Source organism: Homo sapiens, chromosome 9 (assembly GCF_000001405.40).
Source record: "Homo sapiens chromosome 9, GRCh38.p14 Primary Assembly".
In the NCBI taxonomy this organism is placed as follows: Eukaryota; Metazoa; Chordata; class Mammalia; order Primates; family Hominidae; genus Homo; species Homo sapiens.
In genome coordinates, this window is record NC_000009.12 from 85,588,905 (window position 1) to 85,610,340 (window position 21,436).

A 21,436-nucleotide genomic window follows, 5' to 3' on the forward strand; every position below is an offset into this window, starting at 1 on the left:
AAACAAGTTTATCTGCTCAGAGATTTAGCCCCCAAAATTTCACTATACATTTAGATATACAAGTCTACAAAATAATCATTCAGCTTACCACTCATATTTTCGATACACAATAAGCTCTGTTTCCTGAAATACTTCGCCTTCTTATCAAAATTGAAAGTTTTATTTTTATTACTACAGTTGTACATTTGAGGCAATTTAAAAAAATATAAATGGCAGGGAAAAATGAATAACTATTCTGTGCTAGCTACCAAAACAATTGATAGGTTTCTGGTTGTTTTATTTACAAGTAAAATCAGTCCATTTCTAAATTGATAATACTATTACACGACCTCTTAAAATAATTTGTTGTATTCTACTTTGAATACAATTTCTAAGGATAAGAACTAAACGACAGTGGTAGCAAAAGAGACCTCAGAGAACATCTCATGTAGCCCCTTATTTTCAGGATAAGGAAATTGAGGCCCAGAGGTGGGCTCATGGCTAGCTAGATAATAGCAGGGCCAAGACTAGAGCCCAAGTCTTCTGATGTCTGTTCCTATTATCATTTCCATTATAAAATACGGTTAAAGCAAATCAAAGTAGGTGAGAATGACTGCTATTGTGAGTTGGGAAGACAAACTTACTGAAATGGCAGATATGTTCATAATAATTAGACTCTGGCATTGCTGTTATAGTCACCAAGGGGCAGCTGTTTCCAGACAGGGTTTCACATAACACATCTTTCCGAAAATAGATTTGCTGAGGATTGTGTGCTGATTCCAATTTTTGAAGATGCATCTTGATAAAAATTTTAAAACAAAATATACAATCACTTAAAAAGTCCCTATGATATACAGAAATAATGCATCCAGATCTCCACATAACTAGAAGTGAATCAGATTCTTAACCCCTTATCCAAAACCCTCAGGGCCAGATGTAGCCTAAACATCAGTGTTTGGGAAACTTGAAACAGGCAATATATTGTTTAAATCATTAATTATGCAGCACCACCAATAGGGTCGGGGTAGCAATCTGTAATACACTCATTATTTGTGCAGCAAAACATATGAAGAATCACCCTAAGTAGAATCAATATTCTAAATAAACTCAGGTCAGGCTTTGCCTCCAAACGAGTTCCAAAAAACCTTTTGGTTTTCAAAGCCTTTTGAGTTTTGAAATTGTGAGTGATAATAGACCTGTAACAGCAACAATCTAAAATTTGAAAAATAAAAATTATATAGCACAATTTTAACAATTTATTTTCCTGATTTCAAGATTAATACGGGTTTGTTGTAAAATGTCTGAAAGACAGCAAAAAAATTACAAAGAAAAAAATTTTTTTAAGTTTTAAAAATTTAAAACATCTACAATTGCACCACCTAGATTACTACTAACACAATGTATGTAAGCAAAACCATGATTACAGACTTTTATAATTTGATTTTATCACTTAAAAATTTATACATACACATAAACATATATATTCCTAATTATGAATACTATACCACATCATTAAATATGTTAAATGTGTATTTTTTGAAAACACAAGTTTTAATGGTCTTATTATGTGGTTATACCAAAAATAAATTGTTCAATCCCCCATTTTTTAGATATTCAGTTGGTTTTCAAACTTTTGCCTATGTTCTTTCACAAATCACTATTGACTGAGTGGTCACTATTTTCCAGAAACTGTACAGGGCATTGGGGATACAACAATGAATAAATGAACCCTACCCTAGGGAAAATAGAGAGTGCTGTGAGAGCCTGTAATAAGGGGAGGGGAGCCTAGCCAAGTCTGGGCAGTGAGGAAAGGTCTTCTACAGAAAACTACATTTAAATGAAACTCCAAAGGATGAGTCAAGAGAGCAGAGATGAGTACTGCAGGCAGAGGGAAAAATATTAGGAAGACCAGAGGATAGAACAGGGCATTTCAAAGAATTCAGTAAGATTCATTACAGCTACAAAGGTGAGAAACAAAGAATCTGACACAGAATGAAGGGCCTGGTAGACAGGTCTTTCCAAAAGCATAGTATACATACCACTGGTAATTGAGATAACTAAGTGATATGTAGATAACCATTTTAAAAGTTTTATAGGTATATATTTTATGTGAATCAGAAATAAGTCTAGCACATTAAATCTTTCATGCATTTCACAGATATTAACTGAGGATGAGGATACAATTTAAATGATTTCATGGATATTAATTGAGGATGAGGATACACTTTAAAGAGTAATATATTTTAAAGTCTATTTAAAGATAAATAAATAATACTTCAAATAGTATGTGGATATGGCAAAAAAAAAAAAGGGGGGGAGTACTAGAAAAAGGACAGGGTGAATCACGGTAAGAATTTTAGACTTCACACAAAGGGCAAGGGAAATCACTAAAGAGTTTTAAGCAGGGTATTTTATGATAAGATTAGCTATAAAAGAACCCTCTGGCTACAGTCTGGGGTTTGTGGGGTGGCAGCGGGAACTAATGAAGAGCAAAGGGGTCAAAACTGAATCCTAGGACACTAGTTACAAAGAGGTTGGCAGAAGCCCAGGTGAGAAACGATGGTCATGCCTGGAAAACATCATGGTAGGGGGATTGAAAGAAAGCAGGAGAATTCAAAATATATTAAAAGGCACAATCAGTAAAGAACAATAACATAAAACCAGGCAAATAAAAATAGTGCAAATATATATTTATGTGCATTCTTATTTGTTTTCCTAGGATAAATTACCCAAAAGTAAACTACTAAGCACAGAAAGATATATGAACATTGTACCTTTATGGTAGGTTGTAACCTTTCTTAAAGTACAGTAAGCCTCATTTAATGCTGTCAGCCTCATTTAGTCTTCTTAGGTTTGATATCTCTTCTGCTCTACAGACTATGTTTTTCTTTCATTTTCTCCTCTCTAATAATTTGGGAGCTTGTTTCTAATTAGAGTGTTCCAATTTCTTTATTGGTAAATTGATCACATCTTCATGATCTTTGACATTAGAATAGATATTCTGTTCTGAGAATAAATCTACCACAGTCGATATTTAATTACTAGACTTTGTTTGTTTAGTTTTGGTTTTTAGTTTCATTTTGCTATATTCAAAATCTCAAAAGGTTTCACACAAAACAACTCTTATACCCTAGATTCTTAAAAATCTGGATCTAGGTCTCCATAATAAAACCATTTCCTTCAGAAAAAGATCTCAATTTTTCCTTCAAAAACACTCAAATTGCATCCACATTTTTTTAATATTCTATTTTCTATGAGATTCTGGTTAAACATGCAGAAATCTCACCTGGTTAAAAATTGTAAATCATGGAATCTTAGCTTAGAGAACTGTGGATTTCAACAAAAGATGGGAAGTAAAAATCATGTCAAAGTTTCTTAATATTTCTATTAAAAAAAAATAAGAGCTACATTCCCATTTTACTCCTCAAGAAATACTGTAGTATTTTCCAAAATCTTCAACACTAAACCCTTTTCTTATGTTATATTTAACTAAACTTAATTTTCCTTATGTTAGAATATTTAACTAAACTCAATTAGTATAATTATCCTTATGTTAGAATATTTAACTAAACTCAATTATTATCATTATCCTTATGTTAGAATATTTAACTAAACTCAATTTTCTTCCATTATCTTATACATATCCATATAATACAATTTAATTTAGAGTTCTTACCTGTAAAGTTGAATACGTATATGGATAGTGATAAGCAAAGTAGCAAACATCATCTTTATGTGGAAAATTGACAGTAAATGTAATTGTATAGTAGGATTTTCCCTTTTGCCCACCTGCAGCAACTGAACTTCTTGAGAAATGATTTCTGCAATAAAAACGCATAAAACATGTTCATTTCATCCACATGAAAACTGATTTTCCTTGTTACTTTTATTAAATAGAACTTCAGGGAAAAAAGAAAAACCCGAGTCTGTAAAAAGTGTAACTTAAATACCCTATTTTAAAAAAACTTAGTACTAATAAAGCAGTAAACTATTATTAGCCAATGACATTACATAACTTTTCACTTCTGAATTTACTAATTAAATGAGCTAATACTCTTCACGTCAAAAAAATTTTTAGAACCCCATTCTTTGACATCCATACACGTTACTGAATCTAGAAAATGATCATCAATGGCTACTACAATCAAGAGAGGAAAGGTTGATGGACACCTTTACGTGGATGGATCAGGCTACAAGACCTGGGTTCACTAATCAATCTTAAGATTACAAAAAGAGAAACAATCAGAGATGATGTTGTTTCCTGATGTGATGCAATGGGAATTCATTGCACCACCTATTAAGTATTCTTGCCAAAACCAAACCTGAAGTTGATCAAGCTTCTAGATCTAACTAACAGTTTATAGGAAATTGGTGAAACAGAAGCACTTGTTAACACCACAGGGATGCAATCCAATAAAATCCAAATGTGAAAAACCCTACATGACAATCCAGCTTCTTTAGCGAATGAATGAGAAATTTAAAAAAAGAGAAAAGGGAAGCCTATAAATTAACACAGACTTAAGGGACATGTCAACAAAATTCAAAAGCAATGTGTGATCCTTGGCTGGATTCTGATTAAATAAAACTATAAAACACCATTTAGAGGCAATCGGGGAAGTCTGAACATTGGATATTTCATCACAGTAAGAAATTTTCTTAATCTTTCTGTGTTGTGATAATCGCATTGTAGTTAAGATTGTCTTAAACAGCCTTTGTCTTTTAGAAATACGTATGTAAGTATGTACAGATAAAATACGGTATCCGAAAATGGACTTAAAAATTCATTGTGGAAGTATGAGTAAAAGTATAGATAAACAAAACTCACCATGTGTTGATAATTGTTGATACTGGGTGATGAATACATGGGGCCTCATTATCTTATTATCTGTTTTTGTAAATGTTTGAAGATTTCCATAATAAAGTTTTTAAAACTATACATTACCTTCCAGACTCGAAATACTGCTGACATATGCTGACTTAAAGATGCTCTAACAACTTAATTTCTAAAATTCTGAATCACCTTGTATTATTTAAGCCATGAAATGAAGAAAAACCAGGGCCTATACGTTATTTTTTCATGCACATAAATGTTCAAAGTATTTTCAAATTGATATAGTCTTCATTAACTTATGCATACTATCTTGAATAGATACCCAATGACAGAGTGCTAAGGATTAACAAAAATTCAAAACAAGTTCAAAAACTAGTCCTTGCCAACTCTTTTCCCTCAAAAGTTTAACATTTAATTGGAGAGGTATTTATACTACCACATTACAGCTATATGGCAGTTTCTAGTTTATAAACCAGTGAAACATATATTATTTCATATAATGGTGAAAAGCAGTTTTATTCCATTTTATAGAGAAGACAAACAAGCATCATAGGACTTAGCTGACATGAAAAGTTATGGCACAATGCAAAAACAGATTTTAATCTTTATCATCTAAATTTCAGGCCAGGCACTTTTGTTCATGCCTGTAATCCCAGCACTTTGGGAGGCTGAGGCAGAGGGATCGCAACATGGTGAAAACCCAGTCTCTACAAAAAATACAAAATTAGCCGGTTCACAACTGTAGTCCCAGCTACTCAGGAAGCTGAGGTGAGAGGATCACTTGAGCCTGGGAGTGATGATAAGCTCTTGAGGCTGCAGTGAGTCGGACTGCACCATTGCTTTCCAGCCTGGGCAACAGGGCAAGACTGTGTTTAAAAAAAAAAATTAAAATTTAAATAAATAAACATACCTCAGGCTTCAGGAAAACAACTAGAATAGAGTCTTACATAGAAAGTGGTTAATAAATGTTTGTTGAATTGAACTCTACTTCCAGATCAGGAAGTAGTAGCCAAAAGAAAAGACAGAACCTAAATTAAAAATATAAAAATCTTTGCCATCACCCCTTACACAGAATAGAACAACTTGTCCTGCTATGATCATTCATTTTGCAACGTGAAAAAGCATTCATTGATTGACAATTTCTAATGTGACAACATAAAGAAGCATGAAAGTAAGAATGCTTTTTGAAAAACATTGTTTCATTCTTTAAAAGTCTAAATAATTCTAAAATCTAGCCAAGCACTGCTCAGATAGTTTCACCCAACTTTATGAGAAAGAGACAAGTGATGAAAGACTATTTTTATATTAGTCTACCACTAAAAGAAATACAAGATGTATTATGGTGCAGATGAATTACATATTACCTTTACTTCTGTTTCTCATTTATTTGCTATTCATTTTGCTAATAAGAGTAAGGAAGAAATCTTACTGAGATGAATTCCAAGGAAGATTTTGTTTCCCAGAAAGTAGGAGTACTTAACACCAAGTTTTTTCCAAAGCCATGTCAAAACAGTTTAATTTTAGAAGCCTTCTTCTAATTGATAAAACTAAAAAACAAGGGCATTAGTGCCAGTAAAGCACAATCTAAAAAGTCAAAATTCACCATACAGAAATGTCAGGATTGAACTTAGTAACAAATAAACAAGGGTGCCAAGTGGAATCAACAGTGAACATTAGCTGGAAACATTTGCAGACACACAGTAAAAATGAGAAGCAAGATACATGAGAATCCTCGAGTACTTAGAGGTGGAGCTGAAGAATAATCAAACTATTCCACAGAAGTAGGAAATTATTTCTAGCACTTATTTATTTTATTTATTTATTTATTTAGAGACGGAGTCTTGCTCTGTCACCGAGGCTGGAGTGCAGTGGTGCGATCTCGGCTCATTGCAACCTCCGCCTCCCGGGTTCAAGCGATTCTCTTCCCTCAGCCTCCTGAGTAGCTGGGATTACAGGTGTGCGCCACAATGCCCAGTTAATTTTTGTATTTTTGGTACAGACAGGGTTTCACCATGTTGGCCAGGCTGGTCTCAAACTCCTGACCTCAGGTGATCTGCCCACCTCACCCTCCCAAAGTGCTGGGATTACAGGCATGAGCCACCACACCCAGCCTCTAGCACTTATTTCTAATTTGCTATAAGTAGATCACATATTTACAGTCAAAGATGAACTGTGTTAAGCTGATGTACTGTATTTGGAACACATCTCCAGTTAACATTTTGGAAATTAAAATGAAGTAAATATTTGTGTGTTAATATAAAAAGGGAAAAGATAAGAGTTATACTTGATATCATAGGAACAATAAAAAGCCACTGCAAATTATTACTCGTAATTTCTATTTTCAGTTTTATTCAATAAAGTTTCCAGAGTTTTAAAGCTGGAAAAGCTGAGGACACATAACTCTCTAAGTGGTGGAGACACAGCCTGGACCTAAGTTTGTCTGCCTATACAACACATTTTACTTCTACTACATACACTCCATAAGTGGATCTCAAGTTCAAAAGGACTCTTTAGAATTACTAAAGCATAGCACCACAATTCAAAGTATGCAATAATAACTCTACTGTTTCCTTTTACACTGAAACAGGATGTACTTAATACTGCCTTCTGTAAGCTGACATTCTATTAATATTCTTAAAATACTTACTTATAGTAACAAATGTCAGTCCCCATACGAATCCACCATGGTCTGGCATTTAATGCTTCCTGAACCGAATACATGAGTGGTTGCATACCTTTGAAAGAGAGAAAAAAAGAGAGAAAATTATTTTCATAATTTTTCAATTAAAAATTAATCTTGCCTTTGTAGAAAGCACCAAACATTCAGGAAAGCAGAAGTAAATTACATTTCAGTTTTTTAGTATGTATTTTAAAAATCTGATGCATTTCTTAAACATCCCAAGTCAATCAATGATATGCTTTTATTTTTTAGTTTAATACAGGATTACAACTTTAGAGTGAGAAGTCATTAAACTCTTTTCTATTAAACTTTCTACATGAAATCAATTAAAGATAATATATTCCTTATAAAAAGTGAAACAGCCAAAACATATGTAAAGACATAATGTACAATCACCCCTCTAACTCTCCGTGGATTTCCATCTACACTAAAATTAATGGGAAAACACCACCAAAATGGCATCTTTGCTTTCCTCCCCACCGTTCTCCATACATATATGTGTTTGTAGGAGAGAAAACGAAGAGGGACTCAAAAATATAAAGTATACTTTCTTGGATATTCTTAGAAATATATTTTCCACATGAACTTTAAAATCACCTTACCTAATTACTAAATGATATATTAGGTTTCTAAATGGAACTGAATTAAATTCATGTTAATTATAGAAAGGCTGACAATTTTTATTGAGATCTGGTTTGACTTGCCTTAAATTCTAACTTAAGGATAGAGTCATTTTTTTTTCCTGGTACAGAATAATTTTATTAAACTTACCTGTGAGTATTTTTATAAGATTCTTTTTTCCCTTTCCATTTCTGACTGGTTATTCCAACAATGAAGCACTATTCATTTATTTTTTGTATTTATCTTAATATTCACATTATCAAATAAACTCACTAATTTTAACAGGTTTTTAGTAGTCTCATGGATTTTTTAGTAATATAATTAAAATATTTTATCTCCTCTTCTAGTATTTATATCATTTATTTCATTTTCTCCTCTTACTACATTTAGATAAATGAAACCTCAAAAAAATTATGCCGAATATAGTGGTAAGAACAAACAATTCTTTTTCATGACTTGAACCAAAATGTTTTGCCATTCCATGTAATATTTGCCACTTTTTTGCAAATCAACTTTGTTATGTTTAAGTCAAAAATAGCTAACAATGAATAATTTCTGTATGTGAGACACTGCTCTAACGTTTTTTACATGTATTAAGTAATTAAATCCTTACAACCACACTTAGGTGGTAAATGCTATTATTATTCCCATAACTTGAGTAGTTCCACCATAATTTTTATTATACTTCACAGTTTTAATTACTTCATCAAATGCCTTTTCAACATCTAATAATAGAATCAGATGGCTTTTCTCCTTTAAACTGCTGATGCAATAAATTATGTTGACAGGTTTCCTATCGTTGAACTATCTTTGCATTCTAAGAAAATGCTACTCTTTTAACACTATGTGACTAAGTTAGCTAATATTTAGAATTTTTCCATCTAAGTTCTTAAGATGATCTTTCTTATTTCAATTTACTTTTACCAAGTATTGGTAAGATTATACTAGCTTCAGAAAACTAAATTTTAAAACTTTCCATCACTTATTAGAATAAATAATAAAAGCACCATCTATTTTTTAAAGGATAAATACAATTCAGCTGGAATACCATGTCAATATGGCAGCATTAATAAACATATTTTTAAAAATTTCCCTTCAACAGCTATAGCTTCTTCAGAATCTCACTTTTTCCTCATCGCTTTTGGTATTTCTCTCTCTCTCTCTCTCCCCTGATGTCCCTAAGTTTTCAGTTTCTTTATCATGTTATATCATTTCTTAGAATCCAGTCCACTTTTTTTAAAGTGTATTTCCAGGATACCACTAACTTATAATTCTAATTTGGATGAGTTGCTGCCTAGGAAATCTGATTTCATCTTGTTATTTCTTTTCACTGGACTCCCAGATTAGTACCACTTGTTCTTGTATCTCACATCTCCATCTCGGGTTTCAAATGGGATCCTAGTGAATCAAACAATCAATCTTGTTGATTATATTATTCAAATTCTCTATAGCCTTACTTATTTTTGTCTTCTTGATATGTCAAATTCTGAAAGGAGTACTTTAAATTCTCATAAATGTTTTCTAATCAAGTTGTATTTCCTGGAGATTTCTGCCCTGCTTATGTAAGTGCCATGTGGCCAGGGTTGTTGTGCTGTGTAAAGGTTTACAGCATCTTCAAGGATTGCAACTTGTAAATACAAAATATCTGTCTTTATGCAAGTCAGTGTTTTTGACCCTGACGTTTTAGTCTGACATTATTATTTATTATTATTATTTTTTTCCAAAATGGAGTCTTGCTCTGTTGCTCAGGCTGAAGTGCAATGGTGCGATCTCGGCTCACTGTGACCTCCACCTCCCAGGTTCAAGTGATTCTCCTGCCTCAGCCTCCCGAGTAGCTGGGGACTACAGGCGCATGCCACCGTGCCCAGCTAATTTTTGTATTTTTTGGTGGAGATGGGGTTTCACCATGTTGCCATGGCTGGTCTCAAACTCCTGACCTCAGGTCATCCGCCCGCCTCGGCCTCCCAGAGTGCTGGGATTACAGGCGTGAGCCACCGTACCCGGCCGACTGACACTAATATTAACCACTTTTGCTTTATTTTAATTTCATTTGCCTAGTTCATCTTCGTCCATTCGTTTTCAACCTTGTCACTGAACACACACACACACACACACACACACACACACACACACACACACAGTAGGGAGCAGGTGAGAGAGGGAGAGAGGGAGAGAGAGGGACAGAAGGAGAGAGGGAGAGAGGAAGAGAGGCAGAGAGAGATCCCACTAAACTGTGTTACTTTCAATCTCTGACCTTTTGAGGGTACTTCATGGTTTATTCATAGTTGGTGATGACGGATATACATTTCATTGTATTCTCTCCATCTTATTTTCTACTTCTGATACCAACAAATGCTTTTATTGTTCTTCCTTACCATTTTATTTTTATTGGTTTGGTGGCATTGCTCCACATTTTCTTTTCTTCCTTAATTTGGAAGCCTTCTATCACGCTTTTCAATTCTACTTTTCCACCCTCATAGTCATGATTGATATTTTTCTAACACTATATTAAATGAACTAACTAAGCCATCCCACTGACACAAGTTAATTTTCACTTCTCCTATATTACCCCCCTTAGAATATTTTTGGTTAACACGTTTTATAAGTTCCAATACTTCTATCTTGAGACCTTTTACTCATTTTGTTCAGAAAGAGATCAGATAGCATATTTTCTGAATTACTGTTTTTGAGACAGACCTTCACTCTGTACATTTTCTGAATTCTTATAAACGCTGACATGCAGTTTGTTGGCAGTGACAAACAATTTACAGATTCTTCAAAAGACATTTGGATGTCCACTGGCTTCCAGTGCTATAGATGAACAGTCCAATACTAGTTTAATTTTTTAAATATGCATAAAAATACAGTGATTAAGAGCATGCAATCTGCAACCAAACTTCCTGGGTTTGAATTCCAACTTCACCACATACCAGATGCATGATCCTGGCCAGACTATTAACCACTCTATGCCCCCATTTTCTCTTCTGTAAAGTGAGGGTGACAACCTCACTGGGTTGTTTGTTGTGTGGATGGAAAATATCACATGTGTTAGCACTTGAACAAGGCCTGGCATACGGCAAATATTCAATGAATGTTAGCTACTGGTATTACTATTATCATTATTTCCTTTTAAGTAACCTATTCTTTTAAAGTGGAAGCATGTTAAAATTTTCTCTTTATACTTGAAACTCAGAAATTTCACTGGTACATATAAAATAAGTCTGCCTTCCTGATCCCTTCCTGGGACTCAGTGAGCCACTTCAATCTGAAGTTTTGACCCCTCCACTCACATAAAACTCACCATAACACAAAACTCATTATAATAGTTTCAACAGTGACTACAGGAGACAGAGGAGGGGCTTCAAGATGGCTGACTAGAGGCATCTGGCACTTACGTCCTCCACAAAGCAGCAGCAAAACAGTGAGTAGATAACCACACTTAAAATAGATCATCTAAGACAGAACACTGAAACTCAACAGAGAAGTAACAAGAACACCTAAGACAAGGAAGGAGAGGGAAGGCAGGCAGGCTACTTGGCCAGGAGACCAGGGAGGCTTCCCAGTACAGGAAAAGGGTAAGTGAGATTCTCAGTGGTCCACATCCGCACTACAGACTCCTCCAATCCTAGCCAGGGGGGAGCCCTCCATCCTCACAGGTCCCAAGACTAACACAGGGAGCTGCTTCGAGACTGCACAAAGGTATTGCTCCAGAGAGTGAACTCACACGGGGTGTGACCTAAGCAGCAGCAGCATTGGCACAGTTTTGAGAACCCAGCCCCCACTCAACTGCATCCTGCCCCGAGGCCCAACAGCCTCTGCCTCCCCAACCCACAGCCACCAATGCCACAAGCTGCTGCCACTGAAACCTAAGCAACAGTCACTGGCAGAGACCCCACTTCCCAGCAGCAAGCTGTCATGCATTTGCACGTGCCCAGAGGACAGGGTCCCCTACCCACAGCCACCACCACTGCTGATTGCTGTCACTGGGGCCAAAGCACAATTCCCTGGTAGCAACTCCATTGCCCTTATTGCCCTTGGCAGTGTGGTCACCCTATATTAACACACGCCTTGCAAACAGGCTCCCAGGTCCCCAGCTGTCGCCTGGGGCTGAGGCACACATTCCCCAGCCACTCGCCTACAGCTGCTGCCACTGATAGCTGCATAGCAATCCCTAGCAGCAGGGCTGAGGTGCATTTGCAAGCGCCCTGGGGGCAGGCAGACTTCCCCAGCCCACCAGCACTGCTGCTGCCCTCACTCAAACACTCTAAGGGGAGCCTAGGGATCACCCAGCCGTCCTCATTATAGCCAGAGCCCCTGTAAATCACGTGAGGGGCTTGAGGACAGGCCTGCCTGGCCTGGCTCCCCCACCATCCCCAATACCAGAGCATACCTGGGAGCCTAGGGATCACTCAGCCATGTCAACCAGCGCTGGCACCTGAGCACTCCTCCCAGGGGTCTGCGGATGGGCCACCTCATCTGCCACTACCACCACAGCTGGCACACACCCACACATACCATCTGTGGGTCTGGGGACTGGACCACCCAGCCTGTCACAGCCACCACCAACACTAGCACAGACTGCTTAGGAGGCAGAGGGTTGTCCCACCACTGATCCTCTCATTGCTCATGCTATGCCTGCTGCTCAGGAGCCAAAGGACCCACCCACCTATCTGGCCCAAAGCTGCAACTGCCAGCATCTGAGAAAGTTGCATGGGGGCCCAAGAACTGGCCCATTTAGACCCACTAACACCAGTCATGCTGGGTCCTAAGGACAGGAATCTTTGGCCTGCTGTTGCCACCACTGGTGCCCAAGGAATGGCCGACCTGGCATCCTCATTCCCAGCAAATTTCACCACAGCCACCACTAACAACCACACCCTAAGCCAGTGAAGAAATTACAGGGGCCACATTACTGCATCCACCCAGAATCAAAGCCACAGTGCCCTATCCAGCCAGTATCATAGACTTGCCTTCAGAAAAAAGTCCTCCCCATGAAAGTAAATAAAAAAATTGGAAGATGCGACTGTTATACCAGATGTGCCAATAATAACATAAGGACACAAGAAACACGAAAAAACAAGAAAATATGACACCTCCAAAGCAACCAATAATTCTCCAGCAACAGATTCCAACGAGAAAGAAATACATGAAATGCTGGAAAAGTAATTCAAAATAATGGTATCAAAGAAGCTCAGTGAGATACAAGAGAACACAGATAAACAATACAAAGAAATCAGAAAAACAATTCAGATGATAAGTGAGAAATTTAACAAAACAGATATCATTTTTTAAAAAGCAAACAAATACTGGAACTGAAGAATATTCATTAAATGATAGAAAAAAATATATTAGAGAGCTTTGACAATAGACTAAAGCAGAGGACAGAATTTCAGAACTTAAAGACAGGTGTTTTCAAATAACCCAGTCAGACACAAATAAAGAAAAAAAGAATAAAAAAGAATGAACAAAGCCTACATGACATATGGCACACCATAAAGCAAACACATATTCAATTTTTTGGTGTTGCAGGAAGCAAAGAGAAGATGTGAGGGAAAGTAAACCTATTTAACAAAATAAACAGCTGAGAGGCAGAACAAGATGGCCAAATAGAAGCCTCCAGTGATCACCGCCCCCCACTCCATGCCCCACAATAGGAACACCAAATTGAACAACTATCCACGCAAGAAAGCACCTTTTTAAGAACCAAAAATTAGGTGAGCGATCATACCAAGGAAATGCACTGAAGAGGGTAGGAAAGACAATCTGGAATTGCTCACACCACTCCCGCAGTCCAGCCCCAGTGGCCACATGGAGCAGAGAATCTGTGTGCTTCAGGGAGAGAACATGCAGTGACTGTGGGACTTTGCATTGGAACTCAGTGCTGTCAATGTCACAGCAGAAGGCAACACTAGGCAGAACTCAGCCGGTGTTCACGAAGGGAGTATTTAGACTGACCTAGCCAGATGGGAATTGCCCATCCCAGCTGTCAGAACCTGAGTTCCGGCTAGCCCCACCACCGAAGGCTAAGGCACTCTGGCGTCCTACATAAACTTGAAAGGCAGTCTAGGTCACAAGAACTGAAATTCTGGACAAGTCCTGGTGCTATGCTGGGCTCAGAGCCAGTGAATGTGGGGTGCATGTGGCCCAGTGGGACACCAATCAGAGCAGCCAAGGGAGTACTCACATCACTCCTCCCCCAATCCCAGGAAGCACAGCTTGTAGGTCCAGGAGAGACTTCTTCTTTCAGCTTGAGAGTGGAGACGGGAGAGTAAAAAGGTCTTTGTCTTGTAACTTGGATACCAACTCAGCCACAGTAAAACAGGGTACCAGGCAGAGTCCTGAGGCCACCATTACAGGCCCCAGGCCCCAGGTGACATTTCTAAACACACCCTGGGCCAGAAGAGAACCCACTGCCTTAAAGGGAACAACCCAGTCCTGGCAGGATTCATTACCTGCTGGCTAAAGAGCCCTTGGGCCTTGAATAAACATCAGTGGTACCCAGGCAGTTCTCACTGCAAGCCTTGGGTGAGACATAGAGCCATGCTGGCTTCAGGGGGTGGCCACAGGGAGGTAATACTTTTGCTCAAGGAAAGGAGAGAGAAGAGTAAAGGGGATTTTATCTTGCAGCTTGGTCACCAGCTTGACAACAGTACCAAGAGGGCCCCTAGGGTCCCCAATTTCAGGCCTTGGCTTCTGGACAGCATTTCGGGACCTGCCCCAGGCCAGAGAGGAGCCTGCTGCCCTGAAGGGAGAGACCCAGGCCTGACAGCATTCACCACAAGCTGACTGAAGAGACCTTGTGCTTTGAGGGAACATCGGCAGGAGCCAGGCAGTACTAAACGCAGGCCTGGGATGGTGATGGATATGGGAAAAGACTCTTCTGCATGAAAAAAAGAGATGGAAGAGTGGGAAGAACTTTGTCTTGCAGTTTGGGTGCCAGCTTAGCTGCAGCAGAATAGAACACCAAGTAGATTCCTAACATTCCCGACTCTAGGCCCTGAATGCTGTACAGCATTCTGGAACCTGCCCTGGGCTGAGGGAAGTTCATTGCCCTAAAGGGCAGGACACAAGCCCGGCTGGAAAGCCCTTGGGCCTTGAGTGAACACATCAGCAGTAGCTAGGCAGTGGTTGCCATGGGCCTTGGGCAGGACCCAGTGCTATGCTGGCTTTGTGTCTGACCCAGTATAGTACCAGCGGTGGTGGCCACAGGGTTGCTTGAATCATCTCTCCCCTAGCTCCAGGCAACTCAGCACAGAGAGACAGACTCTGTTTGGGAGAAAGTAAATGAAGAGAACAAGAGCCTCTGCCTGATAATCCAAGAAATTATCTTGTATCTCACCGAAGGCCACAAAGGTGGTATCTCTACAAGTCTGCAAGAGTCACAGTGTTACCAGGCTTGGGTCCCCCCTAATGCAGATATGGCTGCAGTGACCAAAGATTTAGATCACAACACTCAATTCCCTTTGAATATTTGGAAACCCTTCCCAAGAAAGATGGGTACAAATAAGCCCAGACTCTGAAGACTACAATAAATACCTAGCTCTTCAATGCCCAAACACCAATGAACATCCACAAGCATCAAGACCATCCAGGAAAACATGACCTCACCAAATGAACAAAGGCACCAGGGACCAATCCTGGAGAAACAGAAATATGTGATCTTTCAGACAGAGAATTCAAACTAGATGTTTTGAGGAAGCTCAGTGAAATTGAAGAGAACAGAGAGAAGGATTTCAGAATCCTATGAGATGCATTTAACCAAGAGACTGAAATAATTTTTAAAAACCAAGCAGAAATTATGGCACTGAAAAGTTCAACTGACATACTGAAGAATGCATTATAGTGTCTCAGCGGCAGAATTGATCAAGTAGAAGAAAGAATTAGTGAGCCTGAAGACAGGCTATTTGAAAACACACAGAGAAGACAAAAGAAAAAAAAGAATAAAATGAAGTATGCCTACAATATCGAGGCATACTTCAATATCCTCAAAAGTACAAATTTAAGAGTTATTGGCCTTAAAGAGGAGATAGAGGAAGAGATAAGGTAAAAAGTTTATTCAAAGGGATAATACCAGAGAACTTTCCAAACCTAGAGAAAGATATCAACATTCAAGTACAAGAAGGCTATAGAACACCACGCAGATTTAACCCCAAGACTACTTCCAGCCATTTAATAATCAAACTCCTAAAGGTCAAGGATAAAGAAAGGATCCTAAAAGCAGCAAGAGAAAAGAAACAAATAACATGCAAAGGAACTCCAATATATCTGGTAGCAGACTTCTCAGTAGAAACCTTACAGGTCAGGAGAAAGTGGCATGCCATATTTAAAGCACTGAAGGAAAAAAGCCTTTGATCCTAGAATAGTAAGTACATCCATTGAAAATATCCTTCAAACATGAAGGAGAAATAAAGACTTCCCCAGACAAAAAAAAGCTGAGGGAATTCATCAACATCAAATACTTGTCCTACAAGAGATGCTAAAGGGAGTTCATTCTGAAAGAAAAGGACATTAATGAACAATAAGAAATCATCAGAAAGTACAAAATTCAATCGTAATAATAACTACACAGAAATACACAGAATATTATAATACTGTAATCGTGGTGAGTAAACTACTCATATGTTGAGTAGAAAGACAAAAAGATGAACCTATCAAAAATAATGATAAAACTTTTCAAGGCATAGAATAATAAGATATAAATAGAAACAACAAAAAGTCAAAAAGTGAGGAGGGATCAAATTAAAGTATAGAGTTTTTATTAGTTTCCTTTTTACTTGTTTGTTAATGTTTGTTTTTACAATCCATGTTGTCATCAGTTTAAAATAATGGGTTACAAGATGTTATCTGCAAGCCTCACAGTAATCTCAAAAAACCTACAACAGATACACAGAAAATAAAAAAAGAAATTAAAAAATATCACCTGAGAAAATCACCTTCACAAAAGGGAAGATAGGAAAGAAAGAGGGAAAGAAGAGAGGACCACAAAACAATTGGAAAACAACAAAATGGCAGGAGTAAGTCCTTACCTATCAATAACAATGAATGTAACTTGACCAAACTCTCCAATAAAAGGAAACAATCAACAGGGTGAAGAAACAACCTGTCGAATGGGAGAAAATATTTACAATCTATTTATCTGACAAGGGATTAGTATCCAAAATATACAAGGAACTCAAACAACTCAATAGTAAAAAATAATCATAATAATCTCATTAAAAAGTAGGCAAAGGACATAGATATTTCTCAAAAAGAAGATATACAAATGGCCAACAGGCATATGAAAAAATGTTCAACATCACTAATCATCAGGGAAATGCAAATCAAACTACAATGAGATACCATCTTACCCCAGTTAAAATGGCAATTATTAAAAAGAGAAAAAAAAAAAAAGATGTTAGTGAGGATGTGGAGAAAAGAGAACTCTTACATACTGTTGGTGGGAACGTAAATTAGTGTAGTCACTATGGAAAACAGTACAGAAATTTCTCAAAAAACTAAAAATAAAACAACATAAGATCCAGCAATCCCACTACTGGGTATTTATCCGAAGTAAAGGAAATCAGTATACTGAAAGGATACCTACACCCACCCCATGTTTATTGTAGCACTATTCACAATAGCAAAGATATGAATCAACCTCAGCATCCATCAATGGATGAATGAATATAGAAAATGATATATATACACAATGAAATACAATGTGGCCATAAAAAATGAAATCATGTCCTTTGCAGCAACATGGATGGAATTGGAAGTCTTTATGTCAAGTGAAATAAACCAGGCATAGAAAGACAAATATTGCATGTTCTCACTCATATGTGGTAGGTAAAAAAGTTGATCTCATGGAAGTAGAAATTAAAATAATAGATACAAAAGCTGAGAAGGGTGTGTGGGAGGGATAAGGGGGGTGAAGAGAGGTTGGTTAATGAGTGTAAATATATAGTTCAAGAAAAGAAATGTTTTAATGTTCTATAGCAGAGTTGGGTGACTATCAGTAACAATATATTGTATATTTCAAAATGGCTAGATGAGAGGACTTAAAATATTCCTAACATACAGAAATGATAAATCATCAAGGTGATGGATATCCTAAATACCCTGACTTGATTGTGACACATTCTATACATGTAACAAAATATCACATATACCCCATAAATATGTGCAAATATTATGTATCAATTTTTAAAAGTTAACTATATAAAGTAGTGAAAGGTTCAAGTTAAGGTCAAATAGCACTTTAGATTTGTCTCATGTGTTCTAATGTTATAAAAAACAATTATTATTACATTACATTTAAAACAATGTATTCTCATATCACATTTAAAACAATCATATTAAATGCTGGTCACAGTGAAGTTAGCTATATTTGGATATTCTGACTGTAACAAAAACCATTTGGACAAAGTAAGTTGCCCCAGCAAGAATCAATCAAATGAGGTAAACTCAGACTCAATAAACCAGTCTATTCAACCTGATATAGTATGGAAAGCCTATATCTGAGCAAGATTTATTCATTAGTGAAAGGATAAACCTTCATGTATGTAAAACAAGTGTGCTTAAAACTGTAAATTTTTTGCCTCAAATATAGATAATCAAAATATTAAATTGCCAGAGTGCCAATGGCACTAGCCCCTAATAATATCCAAGTAAAGGCCAAAGTTTTATTGAGAACATGGTTAATATTATGTGCAAATACAAAGAAAGATGAGGTGTTTTAGGTCATAATCATTAATGTACTATAAATCACAGATTTGTAAAATGTTGGAGTTGATGTTAACACCCTCATTTAACAGATGAGGAGAACAAGAAAAGTTTAAAGTGGAGCTCTAATAAACCTGAAGGCATCTATCGTAAGCTGCATGTTATTTACACCCAATGACTCTACGTAGAAAAAAATACATGCTTCTAACACGTCTAGTATTACAGCTGCGATTTCAGATTCAGATTCAGGTGGCTGCCATTATCCTCCAGTCTCAGAATTTGATTTTTCATCCCAACCAAAGAAGAAATAAATAAATTCAATAAGTAGCACATATAAAACCACACATGACCCAGGCCTTCAGCATTACTAGAAGACAGAATATAACAAACTTTAAATTGTTTATAAATAGTAAAATGAGCAAAGATATAGAGGATGGAACAACAGAATTGGGGTTGAAATCTTTAAAGTAGATTTTAGAATAAAAAATATTTAATGAGAAAAAGGAGGAATTTTATAATGACAAAGTCACAATTCATAATGAAAATATAATAATACTTAATATCAATGCATCTGATAAGATCAACCTCCTACATAAGGCAGAAACTACAGAAGATATAAGCAGAAATCGACAGGGACATACTATTGATATAGTCTTCAAAACACCACTCTCAGAATAAGATAGAACAATTGAACAAGAAAACAAAATATAGAGAACCAAATGACATAATCAATGTGGCAATTTTTACATCTAAATGTCAAATGTCTCATCCTGATACAGATGAAAAATATATCTTCTTATGTGAAGAAGATATATTCTTTATTATCTTCTTCTCAACAGCACATGATACATTCATAAAAATTGATAATATATATGACAATATATTATCAGCAAATTTTAAGCAAAGATATCTTCTTTGCTTGGAATTTGATGATAATATATTAAGATATAATATAAGATGATATAAGTAATATATCTTCTCAATAGCACAATACATTCACAAAAACTGATAATATATTACATCACAGGGAAAACAACACCAAATTTCACAAAACAGAAATATTACAAACTCTGGTCACAGTGTACTAAAACTAGAAATTACAAACAAAATGAAAAAAACAAACAGGGAGGGAACCCACGCAGGAGGATGGAAGGAAGAATAATTTGGGATATCAGACCCTCAATAGGGTGGAGGAAGGCATCTGTCCAAATAGACAACAGGGAGATTATTACATAAACTGGAATTGATCAAACAAGTTAATATATTACGGACAGTGGGGCCCAAAATTATCTCTGTTGGAGAAGAAAGTTGTAAATATGGAAAGAAAACAAGAATAAAGCCTGTGTTATTTGCTCGAAAGTTAAGGTATAAGTATAATCTCATGGAGTGTATGTGTGTTTGTGTGATTATATACACACATACATAAATATGTACCTACAAATATGGAAACCACTACAAATGTGAATTACTGTGTAAATATTATGTATGTATTAAATATACTCCCTAATTGTTCATTGAGATAGTTTGTAAACAGTAATAACCCAATAGCAATGTGTATACCAAGTGTACAGATCTTTTTTTTTTTTTTTTTGAGATGGAGTTTCGCTCTTGTTGCCCAGGCTGGAGTGCAATGGCATGATCTTGGCTCACTGCAACCTCCACCTCCCAGGTTCAAGCGATTCTCCTGCCTCAGCCTCCCAGGTAGCTGGGATTACATGCAGGTGCCAGGCTCATTTTTGTATTTTTAGTAGAGACGGGGTTTCACCATGTTGACCAGGCTAGTCTCAAACTCCTGACCTGGTGATCCGCCTGCCTTGGCCTCCCAAAGTGCTGGGATTACAGACGTGAGCCACCGCGCCCGGCCAGATCTTGGTTTTTAAACATCATTCACTACTAAAGTAAAATGGCACTCTTTGAAGAAATGGCAGATTTCATTCAGGGGTAGAGAAAAGCAAGATGGGCCTTGTGCCAAAAAGCAAGGGCACCCATAAGGAATGACAGGGATATCTCAAAAGGGCACACACACCAGCATTAATGGTATCCCACTGGCCAAATCCTGGACAATTTGAATATCAAAATAAATAATGATAGCAACAAATTATAACTCATTGAGTCAAATAGGAAACCCAGTCTATACTGATAATACATTAAAAGCTTGAGAAGGAACAAGATATTTAGATAGTCTCAAAGTACCTCAATGTATAACACTAATTACAAAGAGAAGAAGGAAATGTAGGAAAGCCACACACCTAAATAATATTAAACTGTAAAGAGCACCCCAAAAGGCAAAAATGTATGAGGAACATTTGTCAGGGGGACTAATCCATTCTAGGGAGGCAGAGGAGACTTGAATTAACTAACGTGGGCAAAGCGGTGAGAATGCTACAGACTAGACTCCAAAATTGTACTTTATTGCCTGGTTCCAAACATGTTCAATTTATGTAAGAAGGCAGTTGAAAATCCTCAGAAATCTGAGAGAAACAAAGATGGAGAGAAAGTGAAAGAGAAGCTTGGTACTGAAGCTCCAAGTCACTAAAATGCAAGACTGCCATCTGGTGGTAATTTCAGCAAATCCCTTCCAAGTAATGGGGGGGTAAGAGGGGGTGATGGATTGAAACAGACAC

At 37.0% G+C, this 21,436-nt stretch overlaps 1 protein-coding gene across 24 annotated transcripts in view, besides 1 other annotated feature; it reads right to left on the reverse strand.

Moving 5' to 3' along the window:
* AGTPBP1 (ATP/GTP binding carboxypeptidase 1) overlaps positions 1–21,436 on the reverse strand; it is a 258,945-nt gene that overhangs the window by 42,366 nt on the left and 195,143 nt on the right. For all 24 annotated transcript variants that reach the window (XM_047423094.1, XM_047423090.1, XM_047423089.1 and 21 more), the window contains 3 exons: positions 7,458–7,545; positions 3,656–3,800; positions 624–777 (listed from right to left, as the gene is read on the reverse strand). In XM_047423094.1, coding sequence (XP_047279050.1) covers positions 624–777; positions 3,656–3,800; positions 7,458–7,545 — 387 coding nt within the window. The remainder of the gene's footprint in view (positions 1–623; positions 778–3,655; positions 3,801–7,457; positions 7,546–21,436) is intronic.
* Positions 11,459–12,271: an enhancer, noted in NCBI's record as "H3K27ac-H3K4me1 hESC enhancer chr9:88215278-88216090 (GRCh37/hg19 assembly coordinates)". NCBI's record gives its function as "activates a minimal SCP1, AML or CMV promoter by ChIP-STARR-seq in primed H9 embryonic stem cells {active_cell/tissue: H9 hESC(primed)}" and the evidence as "EXISTENCE:reporter gene assay evidence [ECO:0000049][PMID:30033119]".